Source organism: Homo sapiens, chromosome 4, assembly GCF_000001405.40.
Source record: "Homo sapiens chromosome 4, GRCh38.p14 Primary Assembly".
In the NCBI taxonomy this organism is placed as follows: Eukaryota; Metazoa; Chordata; class Mammalia; order Primates; family Hominidae; genus Homo; species Homo sapiens.
In genome coordinates, this window is record NC_000004.12 from 62,043,420 (window position 1) to 62,061,774 (window position 18,355).

The 18,355-nt window shown below is 31.5% G+C and overlaps 1 protein-coding gene across 59 annotated transcripts in view; it reads left to right on the top strand.

Moving 5' to 3' along the window:
- The window catches only part of ADGRL3 (adhesion G protein-coupled receptor L3), an 878,010-nt gene that overhangs the window by 843,094 nt on the left and 16,561 nt on the right, over positions 1 to 18,355 (top strand). For 57 of the 59 annotated variants that reach the window (NM_001387552.1, NM_001322402.3, NM_001387522.1 and 54 more), the window contains one exon: positions 1,034 to 1,130. In NM_001387552.1, the coding sequence (NP_001374481.1) occupies positions 1,034 to 1,130 (97 nt within the window). Of the gene's footprint in view, positions 1 to 1,033; positions 1,131 to 3,515; positions 3,924 to 18,355 lie in introns of those variants that run through there. The other 2 variants (XM_047449944.1, XM_047449945.1) reach the window with 1 other exon arrangement.

Sequence of the window (18,355 nt, forward strand, 5' to 3'; positions counted from 1 at the left end):
TGTGTGTGCATGCACACATTTGTCAACCTAGGGAAAATGTGATATACAACAATATTTCTGAAGAATAAGCATGTTCCAAGATTCATAAAATCACTTGTCTAATATTCTAAGATTGATTACTCCCATTATTCAAGGAGTTCAAATGTATTTGGAACATAACCCATTGTAGGCATGGTTTCATAAGTAGTAGCAATGTTTCTTATAACTATTTCAGCCTTGGAAAAACTTCTGAAAATATTTTGTTTCTTCCTCACAAGATTGTTAATACTTTTTTGACCCATAACTCAGTAAACTGATATAACAGAATAAAAAAGAAAAAAATCCCCCAATGGAAAAAGTTTATAATATCTGACCCTTAGAAATTTGAATTTAAGAATGTCAATAATAATTTGAGAATTTTTAGTTACCTGTAAAACTTCCTATGGAAGCAATGAATCAACTAACTTTATCTTCTTCAAAGAAAGAAAAGTCAGGATAGTTATGTAATCCCTAAAATTACATTGATCTTCCTCTAAAAGTTATGGAAAATTTAAGTTCAGTAGCATTTTAATAATGTTCTATTTTCTTTTCTTAGCAAACTCTTTTGCAAGATTCTGATTTCTTAAACTAAATCTTTTGTTAGAACTGGCAATTTAATGCATAGTTAAACATTCCCATTCCAATAAAAGTTATAGTAAAAATAATTTGTTTTACCTTGGAAATTAAAATTTTCTAATTCTGTCTGAAGATATATACCTCTGTATATATTCAACATATTTAAATTGGTATAGTACTTTACATTTATTTCTTTTTTCATGGTTATAATTATCTTTGGTATATAGGCATTTAGGAATACAGTTAATGAGAACCATATATTATCATGAAAGTTATTTCTGATGTTCTCATGCTACTGTACTGCAAACATGTAGTTGTCTATTTGCCAAATGCTAGAAACAAAGGTCTCATATAATTATGACAGAAAAGAAAAGAATGATTTGTGTGAAAATTCACTGCATCATGAGTTCATTTTCTTTCTGCCTTTTCCCCCACCCAGAGCCGAATCCGTAGAATGTGGAATGACACGGTTCGAAAGCAGTCAGAGTCTTCCTTTATTACTGGAGACATAAACAGTTCAGCGTCACTCAACAGAGGTAATTAGAAATAATTTTTCATATTTATTACTTTTCTGATTACTTTAAGAAGTCCTTAAATTCATTGCTTTATTTGCAACTTCTGAACCTGTTCCACATGATAGAAACATTGTAAGAACATAAAACTTGGTTGAGTGTAGCAATGTGTTCCATTATTCATAAGCTACTTTAAAAAAATCCTGAATTTTCCAGAAGTCTTTTCCAAAAGGAAATTAGAAAATAAAAAACTTTTTTTCCTAGTCATCTGCTGCTGCTATAAACTGGAGAGCTGTCAGGCCTCATTGGAAGCAGTGAAAATGGGCAATTATGTGGCTGTATAGTCGGCTAAGCATCATAGAGTTCCACATTGTCTTAGATATAAAGCAATTTCATAGTCTTTGCGGAAGTAAAAGTATACTGTCTAATACATACTTAAGGCAACCTGTGTACTTGGAAAAAATCACGTCTTAATATCTAAAAGACTTATCTGGATAATATTGGATATTTAAAAATATAGGAGAAAAGATACTTTTGGGTATATTATGATTTTTGTGTATGTGCTTGTGGTTCAGTGCTCCCTGGGTGGCATTTAGATTTTTGAAATGAAGAAATGACGTTCCCTTAATCTATTGTTTTGTTTGTGGTTGACTTTTTTTCCTTGATCTTTGCATTCTCTCTCTCTCCCTTTCTCTGTCTCTCTTTCTCTTTCTCTCTCAACCTCTCTCTCTTTCTGTGTGTGTATGTGTGGGGATATGATTAGAATTCATTTTGCTGCAGTAAAAATGACTAGATGCAACATTTGTGGAGACCAAGAGGCTACTACAGTCAGCAATGGGAAATATTTAGAATATAGTTTTATCTGGGAAGGAGGCATTTGCATGAATTTAAGGTATTTTTATGATCGATATTATTATTTTGTATCCCCAAACTAGAATTATTATTTTGTTTTTACCTTATTTCTGTTAGTTTTTTGTTATATTTTATGCTACTTAGGAAGAAATAATGTAATAATTATGGCTTATGATTCAGAAAGATTCAGATGCTAGTACTCTCAATTATTTGTACTCAAGTAAGTTTCATCTTATCTATATGAAGAAGTTAGAACGGGCAGTGTCAAAATTGAATTTGATGCAGGGATCCATGTTTTAATATAATCTTAATTGAGTTTCATGTATTATTTGGGGCAACAATATAGTAACTATAAACTAGTGATGATTTAAAATTATCTACATCACTTTGTCTTGATTAGTAAGAATAGTGAGTGAGAATATTCCTCCAAATACGAAGAAAACGTATTAAAATAAAAGAGCTACCTCCTGGTATTTTGTTTCGTTATTAGTTTGTTTTTATTGGCTAGAATATATTAATTTAGACAATATCTCTCAAGTATTCTTATCTTTTTCAATTTAGTTTTAATGTTTAGTTTGTGAAAATTTCTTTTAATATGAGTATTCTAACTTTTTGACATTACTTTTAAATCATAAAGAACAAATTACTTACAAACGCCTCCATAACCTAGGATTAATTTGCTTACATATGACTGATTTTCTGTATTCTTTAAACAATTCCATATATAAGAAAATTTACTGCATGTTCCAAGAAAGAGAACTGTCCTTACCTATAGGATTTATTGATAGAACTATCTTTCATTTAATGATCCCGGAAGCCATTGAATAATTATTGATTAAACAAAGAATGAGGTAATATGATTTTAATGATGAATTGTATGTATATTAGGATAAACAAAATATGTAAAATTATTTTGTCTAATATTGTTGTCTAAATTCATGTAAAGATAGTAAGGTGTGTCAGTTCAGTAAAAACTGCTATGAATGCAAACTATTTATGGGCTTAAAGTTAATCACTATATAACGCTACTAGTTTCTTCCTTTTTAATTGCTTCTCAAGAATTTAATCAACTTTGAATATAGTGATTTGTGGATAACTGGATCAATTTGAAATATATTTAAAGGAAATAATATTAGTTTATATTGGCCGGTCATATGTTTAAGTCTGTTTATCAAAATCTCTAGTTTTAAAAGATATTTCATACAGCTGTTAAAGGAAGGGTATACAATTTCTTGTGACGTTGAATAAATTAATTTAATGATGACTTTGTGTAGAGAATTAAATTGCATTTATAATTTAAAGGGTGCCCAGGTAGTGATCATTTCATCAGGATATATATTCTTCCTTTCACTTAGTGACTTTATTTGTGCTAGAAGTCATAGTGATCTTCATTTCCTGGATTAATTTCTTAGTCCCCCTCAAGTCAGAAACTCCTAGTTTTATTCTCATCTTATTTTTTTATCTTAGATGAGTGGACTACTTGAAATTTTGTTTCTTCATATTATGTCTCTGAAGATAGTCTTTAACCTCCTTCTTTAATCTTGTCTTATTTCCCAGGGTCTTATCTTCCCTGCATTCAGGCGTGTGTATCATATTTAGGTAGGTGACATCGAAGATTCATCTTTTCAGATAAACAGTCACCTAAGCAACATAATTATTCACTTCTGTTTATTCAAAAGATTATATTCTCTATTACTAAAATAAAAATCTAGATACTACATCTTTACATCTTCATATATTCTAACTTCCAATTCATTTAGTTTTTTATAGATAGTGTTTTTTTTTAAATTCAGACTCCATTTTCCTTTCTTGGTAAGTTAGATGTATTGAATCTCTTATTTTTGTCTTTAAGATAGTTCTGACCCTTGAAAATGAGAAGCTGTTTTCCAAAAATTAGTCCTATTTTTACTTTAGGTTTTCTTCCCTGTTCATTCTACTGGTTAATTCATTAAAAGAGTATTATTTTAAAATTTTGTATGTCTTATCATCTATTCTTACAAACAAGAATCAATCATTATCATCTTTAGGATCCATTAGGAATAAAGAATACATCATGCAGTGTAGAACTACTTTTCAATGGTATTTATTTTTTTAAACCATCTCAAATATTCTGTTCTTGAATCAGCTTGTTGTATCATAAGTATGAGATTACCTTTCTAGATTTCCCAATGTGATAAATTTGATTACTATTGGGATTTTACTCCTTGGAAGCATGTGAAACCTTGGCAGATTTATTGATATAATAATTTTCAATGAGTATATTAATTCCTTTATATTCTCTTTGGAAGTTTGTTGTTTCATCACTTTATCTCTTTAAAATCTTTCATTAAAATTGTACTTCGCATATCTATAAATATGAAGGTGTTTCACAAAATGTTTTCTGTATATTTTCAAATATTTTTCTCCAGCCAACTTGTTTGGCACAATGTTACACACTTAGACAAATTCAGAATTCCTTGAGGCCAATAGGCCAGCACTACTATCAAGTTAACTTTAGCGATCCAACTATGTGCACAAGTAGAAGGAGCTTTAGAAGAGCTGTAAGGTGATGGTTGATTATAGAGAGTTTCAACAAAGATGAACTCTAGGCCAGACCCAAGTTTTTACAAACTCATAGGACTTCAGGATGGTTTATTCATTGGTTCATTTAAATATTTACTATTTTGCTGATACCTTGAAGGTGTAGTCAGCACTCAATCCTCAGTCTCCTCCCAGGGCTGTTGGAAATCTAATTCAAATCTCTAGTAACTCCAACTTTCTGGTAGTGGTGGAAAGGACTTGCAGCTAGAGTAGTCTTTGCCACCCATATCTCCTACCAATAATTTCTGCAGGTCAAATCTTATCTTGAGCTGTTTATCTATTTATTTACTTTTATTTATTTTATTATTTATTTATTTATTTTTGAGACAGAGTCTTGCTCTGTTGCCCAGGCTGGAGTTCAGTGGCATGATCTCAGCTCACTGCAACCTCCATCTCCCCAGTTCAAGCAATTCTCCTGCCTCAGCCTCCTGAGTAGCTGGGATTACAGACACACACCACCACACCCGGCTAATTTTTGTATTTTTAGTAGAGACGGGGTTTCATCATGTTGGCCAGGCTGGTCTTGAACTCCTGACCTCGTGATCCACCCGCCTTGGCCTCCCAAAGTGCTGGGATTACAGGCATGAGCCACCACGCCCGGCTATTTTTATTTTTTTGAGCCAGGGTCTCCCTCTGTCACCCTGTTTGGAGTGCAATAGCATGATCATAGCTCAGTGAAGCCTCAAACTCCTGGGCTCAAGTGATCCTCGTGCTTCAGGGTCCTGAGTAGCTAGAACTAGAGGCTCCCACACCATTTTCTTTTTTTTTAACTTTTTTTAGGGATAGGGTTTTGCCGTGTTGCCCAGGCTGGTCTTGAAGTCCTGGCCTCAAGCAGTCCGTCTGCCTCAGTCTCCCAAAGTGCTGGGATTACAGACAAGAGCCTCTGTGCCTAGCCTTGAACTATTTAGATTAACAATACCTCTAAAACTTCAGTTTGATCCAAAAATGAAATGTTTACTGAGACATTTCCTCTGACAGTGGCATGAATTGTTAAATATTTCTACTTTTTTATTAACTCTATGTAGAAATTAGGATATTTTCTGAAATTAGGCTTTATCTTATTGTAAATATTATATTTGTTAGGCTTTATGTCATCACAAATATTTTATCTATTGGCTTTATCTCATCATAAATATTATATTTTTCATTTTCTTTTTATTTAATTAGTTAGAATGAGGTTAGAGACTTCCATGTGAAAATCAAGTTTTGCTAAGTAGCTCTTACCAATATGGATCTTTGAATCACAAAAGAGTGCCCCATTCCCACCCCAGCCCTGAAGTTATTGTAAAAATATTCAATTTGAGTGGTAGAATTAGAAAAAAGGGCATTTTGTTTTCTTCTGGAACAATTGCTTGGCTAGCATCATGGGTTTTTATTTTTCCCTGATCTCCTATCCTCCATCTTGTCAACCTCCCACACAAGTTAATTTGATTTAGATTTTTATGCATAGAGATCTGACTAGTAAGGGTATATTTATTTAAGCCAAATTTAGTTGTTATATATAGGAAGACTGATCTGTAGATGTGTGGCACTTGTTTATAAATGCTGATGGATTCTCTTTTCAGAGTTCAGACCTTTATTAATCTGCAGAAGCATTCTCAGTAAATATATGTAATTGGTAAAATTGCGATTTCCTATGACAATGGATTTATTTTCATAGATTTTTAAGGGTAAATTTTGGCTCGTAGCTAGTGGCATTACTACCTACTGAAAAGTGACCCCACCTGTTAGGAGTATGGTTGATACAGAGGGGAAAGATGCTGCTATCAAATAGATATTTGCAAGTAGTTGACCTACTCATTTTAGTTTTGCATTAATAGTTCTAAGAATGGACACCTGAGTTTTAATCCAGAGACCTCTGGCAAATTGCTTAACTTCTCAGGGTCTATGCAACAGGTAAATAAATAGTTGTCACTTCAGAAGGTCCTTGAGAGGAGTAAATGAATATATTAATATGTAAATTGCTTACAGCAGGGCCTGGAACGTAATTATTATTATTGTTTTATTCAGAAGTTCACTTATACTTTCTAAAAAATGAAAACTTGCCCTTGCTAGTGCCTTCAAATAATCAGATATTAAAACCCATCATTCACTACCGAAGTTTTGTTTTCATTTTTATTTTGCAGCGGTGGGAAGAATGAAGTGGTTAACTGAATGCCAAGTAAAATAAATAATAATAGATTGTGCTACCCTGGAGGCTAACAAAAAAATAAAATAATAAAACTGAATTGTCACTTCTAAATTAGAAATTAAATGCACATTGCATCTGCTTATTTGTATTTCCCACTTTTGATTTATAACCATGTTTTAGCATCAAAGAAATAAAGGTAATATATTTCTTCTCCCTACCTTAGATAATGACATAAGCAAACACTGCCTTCACTTTTCTTCTAAGTCCTGTCCTCTCCCTTCAGAAGCTTAGAGAACACTATTCCAATTCAGACAGCTCTTCTAAATAACCAGTTATGTAGTGGAGCAGGGATGTGGCTCAGAACCGTTTTTAACAAAAGTTTTCTCAGAGCATGTATTGTCTTTCCCAGGAGGTTGGTCACTGAGGCAGAAGAAACTTCAAAATAAATCACCTGCCATTCCATTAATATTCAGGCTTCTAAACATATTTTGCTTTTATATTTTTAAAGAAAAAATGCAAATGAAAAAAATCTAAGTGATGTTTCACTGCAATTAATGATTTATATAAATTAAAGCTACTAGGGCAAAACACTCATACTCATTCACTGTAGTTTATTAATGTCAATAAATATAATTTGACTCATATGCATAAAATAGTCTGTATTGCCCCAAAGCTTTGCTGTTCTGAAGGATTATAAAATCATTGGTTGTAAATATTAACCAGCTCCTAATATAATCTGACATCTACTTATGAAATTTGCAAAAACAGTTAATAATGTTAGCTATGCAAGTTAACAAATCAGTGTAACCAAATAACAAACTATTTTTATTTTGAACAAGCATTATACTGATATGAATGCAAATATAAGTATTCAATGACATAGGTAAATTTTTATTTTGAGAATTACTGTTATATTTATGTCTAGTATGTCTATAATTTTGTTCTTTATATTCTGTGTAAATGAGGCAACAGCGTTCTGTGTGTGTGTATATATATATACACAAAGGATATATATATACAAAGAATATGTGTATATATATGTGTGTATATATATATACACAAAGAACGTGTGTGTGTGTGTATATATATATATATATATATACATACATACACAAAGGATATATATGTACATGTTATTGATAGAAACAATCAGAAAAGGAACAATAAAATAAAGAAGCCTGTGTTAGGAAAATCAGTTTAATAACACAAAGGCAAAATAGGCTCAGATTTTTTAAGTGAGATGCTGAGTCAGATAATTAAACAAGGCTGTTAATATCCAGGTTTTTAACCCAAGGAAGCCAAATAATTTTCAGAGTTAAGTCTCCATTCAAGTGGCAAAATGAAATATATGAAATATTGATGTCCATCAATCCAGGGCAAAGGTCCTTGGCTATAAATCGTTGGCAGGATCTGAAAAAGAAAAAAAAAATCTTCTTATTGCTTACTCAGCACGTCCTTCTTATGCATTGTGTTCAACTTTGTCTCTGATATGACTCATCCAAGTAATCCAGTCTCTCACAGCCAACTAAACAATAATAAACAGTTTGTATTTATTATTATTGTTAACCTAAAGCTCTCATAGATCCTTTTAAAAAGAGAGGTTTTAAAAATTGTATTTAATTTCCTCACGTTTTTTGATTTATTACGTTATTACCTCACATATTATGAGCAGTATTTCTTACCTCTATTGTGAATCAAACAAGCTTCAGTGAGCTACCTTGATAAATTCTAAATATAAGTGCTATAGAATATTTCCACTTAGCTCTAAAATATTACTATTTGTTTCATGTAAGTTGTTGAGGATGTAATTTTTAAAAATTCCTATTTTTAGAGCTAAGTGTGAAGATTCCAACTTAGGAGTTGCTGGTGTTCTTTTCTCTGATAGAACACAATATGCCTCCTTGTATTTGTTGATAAATTTGGTGTTTCTCCTTTAGTGTGTGTGTAGTCATTTGCATATTGTACTCTGTTCATTATTTATTATCCATTTTCTTTATATCCATAAAGACACTGAGTTTCTTGGTAGTCAAAGTAACTTGTCCAAGATCACATGACTATTAAAGGCAACATCTAGATGCCAAACAAGGTCTTTCAGACCACAAAGCCCTATACAGGATAACAAAAACATTCATTCTTTTCATATAATGACAATTTTTCATGAAGTTGAAGATTAGAATATAGATATAGTCATTTGAAGGAAGTATTTCAAAGTGACCTTTATTTTTATCACCTAATATGGAAAATAGATATTCTTAACAGTGAAGTTATTCACGTCTTTATTTCTAAAATTCCTTCCTGTACTATTCATTTGCTTCCATTTTATTTTGTTCTAAGCACAGTTTTTTTAGAGTGGATTCTTCCTATCCGTGTAAGGAAAAAAATGCTTGAAAAAACTGAATATATGAGGATATAGATTGGCAAGCCACATATTACTTTTACAAAACTATTTTTGATATAGAATATGTTGAATTATTATATATTATTGTCCAATTGTAGGGCTTAGATTGTAAGAAGAATTTCATTGTCATTCTTCTTTCCTGGAAGCTTTCAAAGTATTTTATTTGTAGAATATTTTTTATTTTAATTTAAAATTTTTATATTTCAGTACGAGGATGAATATTTTGGTGAGGGCAAAGATTATGTTAGAAAAACAGGTAAAGAGCTTTTCCCTATAATCTTGTAGTAATAAAAAAGATATAGCTTTTCCCAGATCTTTGTGCTCCTGAATTTGATATTTTTTGAAGCTGTGCCCATTTCTGTCAGGACAATACAGTAATGCCTGGAATAAGTAGAATATATATTTCAGTTGAAATTTCAGTGATAATATTATAAATTAAAATTTTTATTATTGTATTGCTAATTCTGGTTTTAACAAAAACTATGATATGTTTTATAATTCAAAATTTTAAAACAAATAAAACTTGAACTGTGTCTCTCATCTGGAAAAATGTTCCTGCTAATATTGTAAACATAAAGGTTGTGATGATATAGATACCATATATAATATTCAAAGTTAATTCTAACAGAGTCATCATTGGTTCAAATTATTTTTCTAAGAAATAGGCTGTATTAATTTCTGTCTGCTTTTGTGAGGTAAATGGGAGTTAATTCAATTACCTAAAAAATTAAAATGTGAAAGGAGGATATATGTTTAGCAAAGAGAAAAAGGCCTCATTGGAAAGAAAGTACTTAAATTGTAACAACCAATAATTGGGTAGTATTTGATTAAATTAGCTCCTGTTGAATTGCATACAAAGGCTAGCACTTTATATAGCTCAGCTTTATATACTACATGCCATTTAAAAGTTTAATTGTTTATGTGATAGCTTCTCCTATGATTTTTTATAATAAGCTTTCTTCATAATTTGTCATAACAAGGAATGTGGCCGCTTCAGAATGTAAGACAAGTCAGCTACCACATTCATAGAAGGTAATTTACAACCCTGGAAAATCACTGGAGAATTACGAAAGATTTGAGAGGATATATAGATAGAAGGAAGATAGTCAATCTTGATTTAGAAAAATAGAAACAATATGTTTCCTGAATCAGCCTCAGTCTAAATAGAACAGAGCTGATTATGATCATAGTATAAAATAAGCCTTCTGTAACATTATCAAAAATCTCTTTATTCACGGATACCTTATTTGAATTCATGTCTATTTTGTTCAGACACACTTTTCAAATATAGCTTCCAATTTAAAAGATCAAATTTTAGTCACGACAGACCTTCTGCATGTAAGATTATATAATTTGCACAATATTAAAAATACACCAATACTGGGCAGTGAGTTATACTAAATGTCATATTTTTTTCACTTTGGTAAATTATTTTGTCTTTATTAATAATATGTTCATTTGTTCTGCATTTTGTTTTATTTCAGCACAAATTCACAAGCAATGTGTGAGTAACAGATAAATATAGCTATAGGATTGACTACATACCATTAGCAGACTATCAAATAATCTGATTTAGAGGAAATGAATTGAGTTGCTACTGTGTGAATGACAAAGATAAATATTTTTTGCTAAGTGCCTTTGATTTACTAAAAAGAACTGTGGTTTACTGCTATTTTGCCTGTGGTTAAGGAAAATTGCCCCAGGATTTTCAGACTCAGTATTCTTTGAGTACTATGCAAAAGAATTCAAAATGTTCAAGTTAAAAGAACACAGAAATACATGGCTTTGACTACAAAAGATGAGCTTTAGAGATTAATAAATTACTAATAAGAGTCCCTCACTTCTGCAAACCAACCACTTTGCTTTGAAGCAGATTCACCAACAATTCTGAGTTTCAATCCTACCACTGTTGGCTTAAGCAGTTGGAAAACCTAAAATCTCTAAAGAGCTTTGGTTTCTAGCTAATTATATGAATAATGTCATTGAATATCTAATGACAGTAGTTTTCTCATTTGCAATATGATAGTGTTGTGTTGCATAATATGGAAAAATATTAAATATAAAACCTTAAAACTTCAAAAATTATAGTTCAGATTTTAGATTAAAGAGGGAGTTTTTAAAAACAAAATAATAATGATCACACCTATAAGAAAAAGATAGATAAGATCATTTTCTCAACATTGAAACTGTACTCATAACACATAAGCCATTGGGAGAAAGTGTAAACAACATATATAAAAAACAAAATGCTAGTGCCCATGTTGTATAAAGAATGTCTACAAATTAATAAATGAAATTCAACTGCCCAATAGAAATGTGGGCCAAAGATAAGAACAGGCAACTCACAAAAAAGAAACCCTTATAGCGAATAAACATATGAAAAATTACCTACCTTTATAGTAATAAGAAATGCAGAGTATAACAGTGATATGAAATACCATTTCATACTCTGATTGGCAAAAATGTCAGTCTGACAATGCTAAATCCTAGCAAGAATTTGAGAGAATAAGTGCACTGTTCATGGGAAAGTGAATTGTATAAACAGGTTTGACAGCATTTAGGCAATATGTTACTTCAATAAATTGAAAATGTGCACAAGATATGACCCAGCAATTTGACTTTTAAGTATTTGCTGTGGAAAAGCTCATATGTCTGGACAAGAAGACACATATGTAGCCAATTAATACAAAATAAGAGCAATTGAAGAGGTAACTTCTAGGTTTCCCAACTCTGAATCTTCGGATTTGTATGTTAAAACAGAGGCAACACCTCTGAAATCAGACTATGTCATTTTATATTGAACTAACAATAACTTAATCTGTACTTTAGAGAAAATATGTCATTGAAATCCATACTAATGGATTCCCAGTGAATGAATTAGCTATTAAAAGAAGCTGAAGTATCTCCAAACCATTTGAATGAAATTTAATAGGCAGGTTGATTAAAATTTAATAGCAAACTTGTTGGCTATTAAAAGTGCACAGTGTGATAAATCAAGATGTCAGCTCTTCAATTTATGACTTTAGAAAAAAATGATGAAAGAGTTCTTAGCGTTCAGTAAAATATTTCTTTTTTGACTCTGTAATGTCATTGTTCAAATTAAAACATTAAAATCTAAAATTATGGTTTCTGTGATTTTAAAACTTATGTAACTTTGAAAGGTGTCATGTAGATTCTATTCGTTGTTTTTTTTAATAAGTGACTTGGTATTGATTTATATAGTTATTCCTGTTTTATAAAGTAGCCCGACAAAGTTGAACTAATCATTGTTTGTACTTTCTGTAGATTGTTTATGTGTGTTGATATTGTTTTGCTACACCAAAAAGCTAAAAATAGGAAACAAAATACTTAAAATAGACAATGCCTATTGAATCTGTTCTCTGTAATTCTAGAAGCCTCTTCTTTTGTCTATTTACTTTCTTTTTTATTCATTTATTTTATATAATTTAATACAAGAATATGAAAATAAAGTAATTGAATATTATCAAAAAGTATATGGAAAGATTAATGAACTCCTACAAGGCTCCTAATAAAATTACGTTGAAACATTTTTTGAGGAAGAGGATCTTAAAAAAATTTTGAAAATCACAGATTTAAATATATTTAAATAAAACTACCAGAGGTCATGTGTGACCTTGAATAAATTATAAATACCTCAGCCTGTGATTCTTTATGTATTAAATAATGGTGGTAGATTAGATGATGTTAAAAATCTTATTCAGTTATAAATTCTGAATTATAACCTTTCTCCATAATGCAATCTTAAGGTCAATTAGGTGATATAAATATAATATATATTTGGAGTACTTCTAATTTATTTTTTTCAGTTTTCTTGTTTATATTATATTTTACTCACTAAGGAAAGAAACTTACCTCTTATTCCTTTATACCAGTTTTTTAATTCTTTGTAAAGAAAATAAAAGCCATTGGAATCTTTCATCAGAAGGCAGTGCAGACATGTGAATGTGCACAATTTAGTGTACAAACATATACCTAAATCATTTTACATGCAGTGTTAAGGATTTCCCAACTTCATAGATCTCATCTCCCTGTGAAAGATCCCTTGCTTTACACTGAAGTTGGTGTTCTAATGCCATAGAAGATACAACCATTAGAAAGACTGTTTTTACTTGTTAAAAAATGAAGTCTCCACTGTGGGCCAAAATTAAGGTCTGAAAACAAAAACAGAGAGACATCACTCAATAGTAACTCTGTTTTATGCAAAACTCTAATTTATATACGTTAATGTATATATTAGAAATGACTTCATAAGAAATGTATGTCAAGACAAAGGAGAGAGAAACATGATGGACCGGAATGAAGAACCATCAGAGTAAAACTATTTTATTAGGATAAAGCAAACAGGACATTTGCCATCTTAAATATTTATGAAATAAGAATTTGAAAATTGAGGCATATTGCTATATGACTGACTATTGATGAATGGTTGTATTCAGTTAGTTCATTACATCACCAAGGTTTTGAATTCTAAAACTTTGGCCATTCAATATGATCAAACAAGAATGTAAGTGCATTAAAAAAAATAAAGTCTGAGGGCAGAGTAGAGTGGCAATTCAAGTTATTTTAAGAACTTTTCAGTATACTTTTGTTAGCCTGCTGTCAAGAAGAAGCGTTGTTTGAATTATGTTTCTGAATGATAGATTCAAGTGAGATCCAACTGTCATCCTTTTTCAGATCTGTTTTTTACTTTACAGTTTCAAAGCACATCATTCAGCCTTAGATTTCCAGTCCTCAGTTACATATATTACACTGAACCATCCCAGACAGTGCTGTCATTCAGGGCCTCCCAATGTCAAAACACCTATTCTATTTTCATAAGAAAAGAAATATCACAGTTTTGTGTTAAAACTATACATTAGAGAAGGGTGTGACTCATTATTTCATTCAAAATTCACTCATTCACAATTTTTGTATCAGTCTAGATCTTCAGGTATAAAGTAAAAAAGAAGAGAACTTTCTTAAAATGACTATGATTTTAACTGAATCTATTTCAGTGGCTTTAGGATCTGACTTTCTTCTAAATATGTGGTAAAGAAACTTCTCCAATTTTTTCAATATGGAATACGAAAATCGGTTTTGCTTTGTATCTCACTTTCATCAGAAATAAAAATTTTGTGCTTGGCCTTTTATTGACAACCATGGTAATGATTCACATATATTGTTTTTCTTTATTATTTATTCATTTATTGAGACAGGGTCTTGCTCTGTCGCCCAGGCTGGAATGCAGTGGTGTGATCTCAACTAACTGCAACCTCTGCCTCCCAGGCTCAGGTGATCCTCCTGCCTCAGCCTCCTGAGTAGCTGGTACTACAGGCACACTCCGCCACGCCTGGCCAATTTTTTTGTATTTTAGTAGAGACAGGATTTCACCATGCTGGCCAGGCTGATATCGAGCTCCTGATCTCAAGTAATCCACCCACTTCAGCCTCCCAAAGTGCTGGGATTACAGGTGTGAGACACTATGCCATGCTTGATACACATATGTTGTAATTGAATCTTAAATAATTTTCCATGGCTTTATTAAAGGGCTAATTCTTGTTTCTGACAGCAAATAAGCAAGCATGACCAGACCGTAGCCAGGAGTTTGTGAGTTAAATAATTAAGGAGCTGTCATTTTCACATAACCACTTTATTTTTAACCCCAATTTGGGCTTTTTACTTTGAGTTATGGCAAGTAGTGAGTTGTTTTTTGTTTTGTTTTCTGTTGTTATCCGCAGTTAGTATTCAGGTAGCCTTTTGTATTTCCAAATAATATATGATTGATTGTTTATTTCTGCTTTTAAAGTTTAGATAGTAGAGTACCTGGTACAGGATTAGAAGGAAATAAATTACATTAGGAGCTGGACAATTGACACTCTTAAAAAATTTACTAAAATTATAAGACTACTCATAATGGATAAAATAACTTTGATTTAATGTTATGTTTTCAAGATGCCATCAATTTCACGTACATTTTTCATTACTTAAACAAATATTTTTTGAGTTCTAGGGATTATTTAGACACTTGGTGTAGAGCAGTGAAAACCCCTGTGTATTTCTTTTTCATGATGCCTCCCTTCCAGGAAAAATTAGCACATGAACATTCTTTTCACATATGTAATATTGTAACTATCTCGTCCTCCCTGAGCCCCCAAAATTCACCATCGTATGTATGTCTTCAAACTGACTAACCGGTAAGCCCAACTTTTCAGCTGAAAAACAGTGACAGATGGTCTGTAAACACTGAACTTCTTGGAAGTCTTCAACAATTTCGCAGCTATTAGAAGGGAAGTTTACAAATCAGAAGCTGGTTGGAAGGAAGAGGAAGAGACAGGGCAGACAGAATCCTGGAAGACAGTATTAGAATTAAAAGTGACTTAAGTCACCTGGGGAGACAGCCAAAAGCAAACAGAATAGACTTCAGCTAAGGCAAGAGAAATGCAGTGCAGCTACAGAGAAAAGACAAAAGTAACTTTGCACATAAAAGGGGGAAGAAGACAGCTTCTGTGCAAGATTTTAGTTAAAAGATCTAGGCATTGGCAGCAAGCTAGGTTTTGTTTTCAGCACAGTCAGTGCTACCATTCTACCTAGTGAATGTGGACTGTAGGAACTATGAGATAGTAGTACCTTCTAGGAAAATTGTACTTGTTTGGTAGAGCGATAGGAAGTATGTCCTCTTGAGGTCACTCCAAGTCCTGAATAGTCATGGAAAAGTATTTAATTCTTACATTAGGTGGTTCAAATGAGGGATAATTGTTTGATTACTCAGACATATCCCTTACTCTTTCATACTAACAAACCCACAGAGCTGGTCTGTGTTTTATACACTTTGCAAAACACTAATCATCAAATTCCATTTCTTTCTTTTTTGTTTCTGTTGCTGAAGACCTCATTTGAATTATAACCCTCCATTTGTAGAGTTAATTTCAGAAACAATAATTACATTGATTTCAAATGGTGCATGAGGCATGAAAGTGAGTGCTAGACAGTAAAGAAGCAAGTGATTTTTAAGTAGCGATTAGTTTCTTTTCTCAGGAAAAGGTCCTTAATAACAACGGTAAGGAGGGACATGCATTTTCCTTAAGAGTTTTATATTAATTTTTATAAGTGTTTATATGGTTTCAGTGTAACCAGCAAATAGATCTCCAATTATGACTGCATGACACTCATTATAGCTACAGATCAATAACTGATTCTGTATTGCATTGAGATGTGAAGAAGCAACCTACCAAAGCCACATGGCTGAGACTAAATATTGTTCCATGTAGCCACCATTGTGTCATACACTTAGCTATATAGTATTTCTGCCATTGTTGCTGGATTTTCCAGCTTTGCAGAAATGACGGAACAATAAAATGAACTTTAGAACTAACTGTCTTCTCAGATTAATAGTTTCACTGATCAAAGTACTTTTAAAATACATTAAAAATTAGAAAACACCTACACAAAAACTGAAAAGGAAACTTATGCCAGGATAGATATAACCACATAGATTATTTTTAAAATCTTTGATAGTTTCATTAGAATTCCAATATGAAACTCCTCTTTTTTTGAATGATTAATCCTTTTTTGTTCTTGTATTCTTGGCTTTTCAATAAACTGAATGATAAACACAGAAACCAGAAAGTTGAGTCATCTGCTTCTTCCTTGCGTTTGATTCTTCCCAGTCAACTGTTCCTTATTCAAAAGTGCATTTTTCTTTTTTCAAATTATCTTCTTTTAGATCAATATAGAAAAAAATATATATGTATTTAAGACAAAGAAATATTTTACTTTTGAAGCTATATGAAGCAAGGAAGAAGAGTGGCGTGCAATCTCCTTACCTTATTATTTGTTTTCCAATTAGTTCAAATTAGATAATGTATAGCAATGAAGGGAAATACGGAGAGATGCAGCTGTAAGCCTTAGCCATAAACATTTTGCTCTTTTTTTAATCTTTGAGGGAGTGTAAAGAATTTGGGCAATTATGTTTTTTAAGATTTTTACACTAGTTCATTTTAACTTATACCTTTCATTTTCTATTTAAATGCTTATTTAGAATGATTTTAGAAATTATTTGTATGAAAAAACTAATTTTACTTTTTTACTTGAAAAAGATCTAGAATAATAAATATAAGATGGGAAGTACAATTTACAGATAATTTGGTTTTCTAATACGCTATGCAGACTAAATCCTCTTATTAATCTTAAATTTGTAGAACATCAACAATATAAATGTTTAAGATGTACAATTTTTCATTTTTTTGTCCAAAAGGCACCATGATGAACTCTTTTTTTTCTCATAAAATACCATATATTTGATTCATTAATGGAAAATAATACCCTTATAGGCCCATTACACAATAGATTGAAAATCTGCCATTGCACTATGTAAGAACATTTAGATGTATATGTTTTATATCTTCAGAAAGCAAATATTGAACACTTAGAAAGTGAAAAATTCTGTGACAGTTCTATGCTAATTCTTTGCAGGAAATACAGGATGCAATCACATGAGTTATTTCCTGAATGAACTGGTGCCTTCCAACTCTAGAGATCTGACAAGTGATAATGTCCTTTAAATCAAGAGGTGTTCATTTTTTCAATGTTGAGGTTAAGACATTTGTTAGTTGACTGATAATTTACTCTGACAAAGAGTTATAATTTAGAAAAGATTGAAAATACTATTACCCACACTTCCCTTCTCATTTTTAACATTTTTTAGGAGTGGCATTTTTTTTGTTTCATTAATTTAATATGGATTGCTAAAGTGCTGAGATTACAAGTGTGAGCCACTGTGCCCTGCCTAGATTACTTTTCGTTTTGAGATAATTGTAGATTCACATGCTGTTGTAGGAAATAATACCGAGAAATATTGTATCACTTATCCAGTTTCCCTCATATCTTGTGAAACTATACTGCAATATCACACCAGAATATTAATATTGACACAATCCACCACTCTTGTTCAGATTTCTTTAGTTTAACCTGTAGTTAATTGTATTTGTATGTATGTGTTTAGTTCTATGCAATTTTACCCACAAAGTAAGTTCATGTTTACACCATCATAGTGAAGATACAGAGTAGATAATTTTATCACCACAAGGATGCGTCATGTTGTCCTTTCATGACAATACTCACTTACCTCCATCCTCCATCTTTCACCCCTGGCAACCACTTATCTGTTCTCCATTTCTATTATTTTGTCATTTCAAGAACATTACACGTATAAATGGAATTACACAGTATGTAAACTTTTGGGATTGACTTTTCTTATTCAGTATAATTCTCTAAAGATTTATCCAAGTT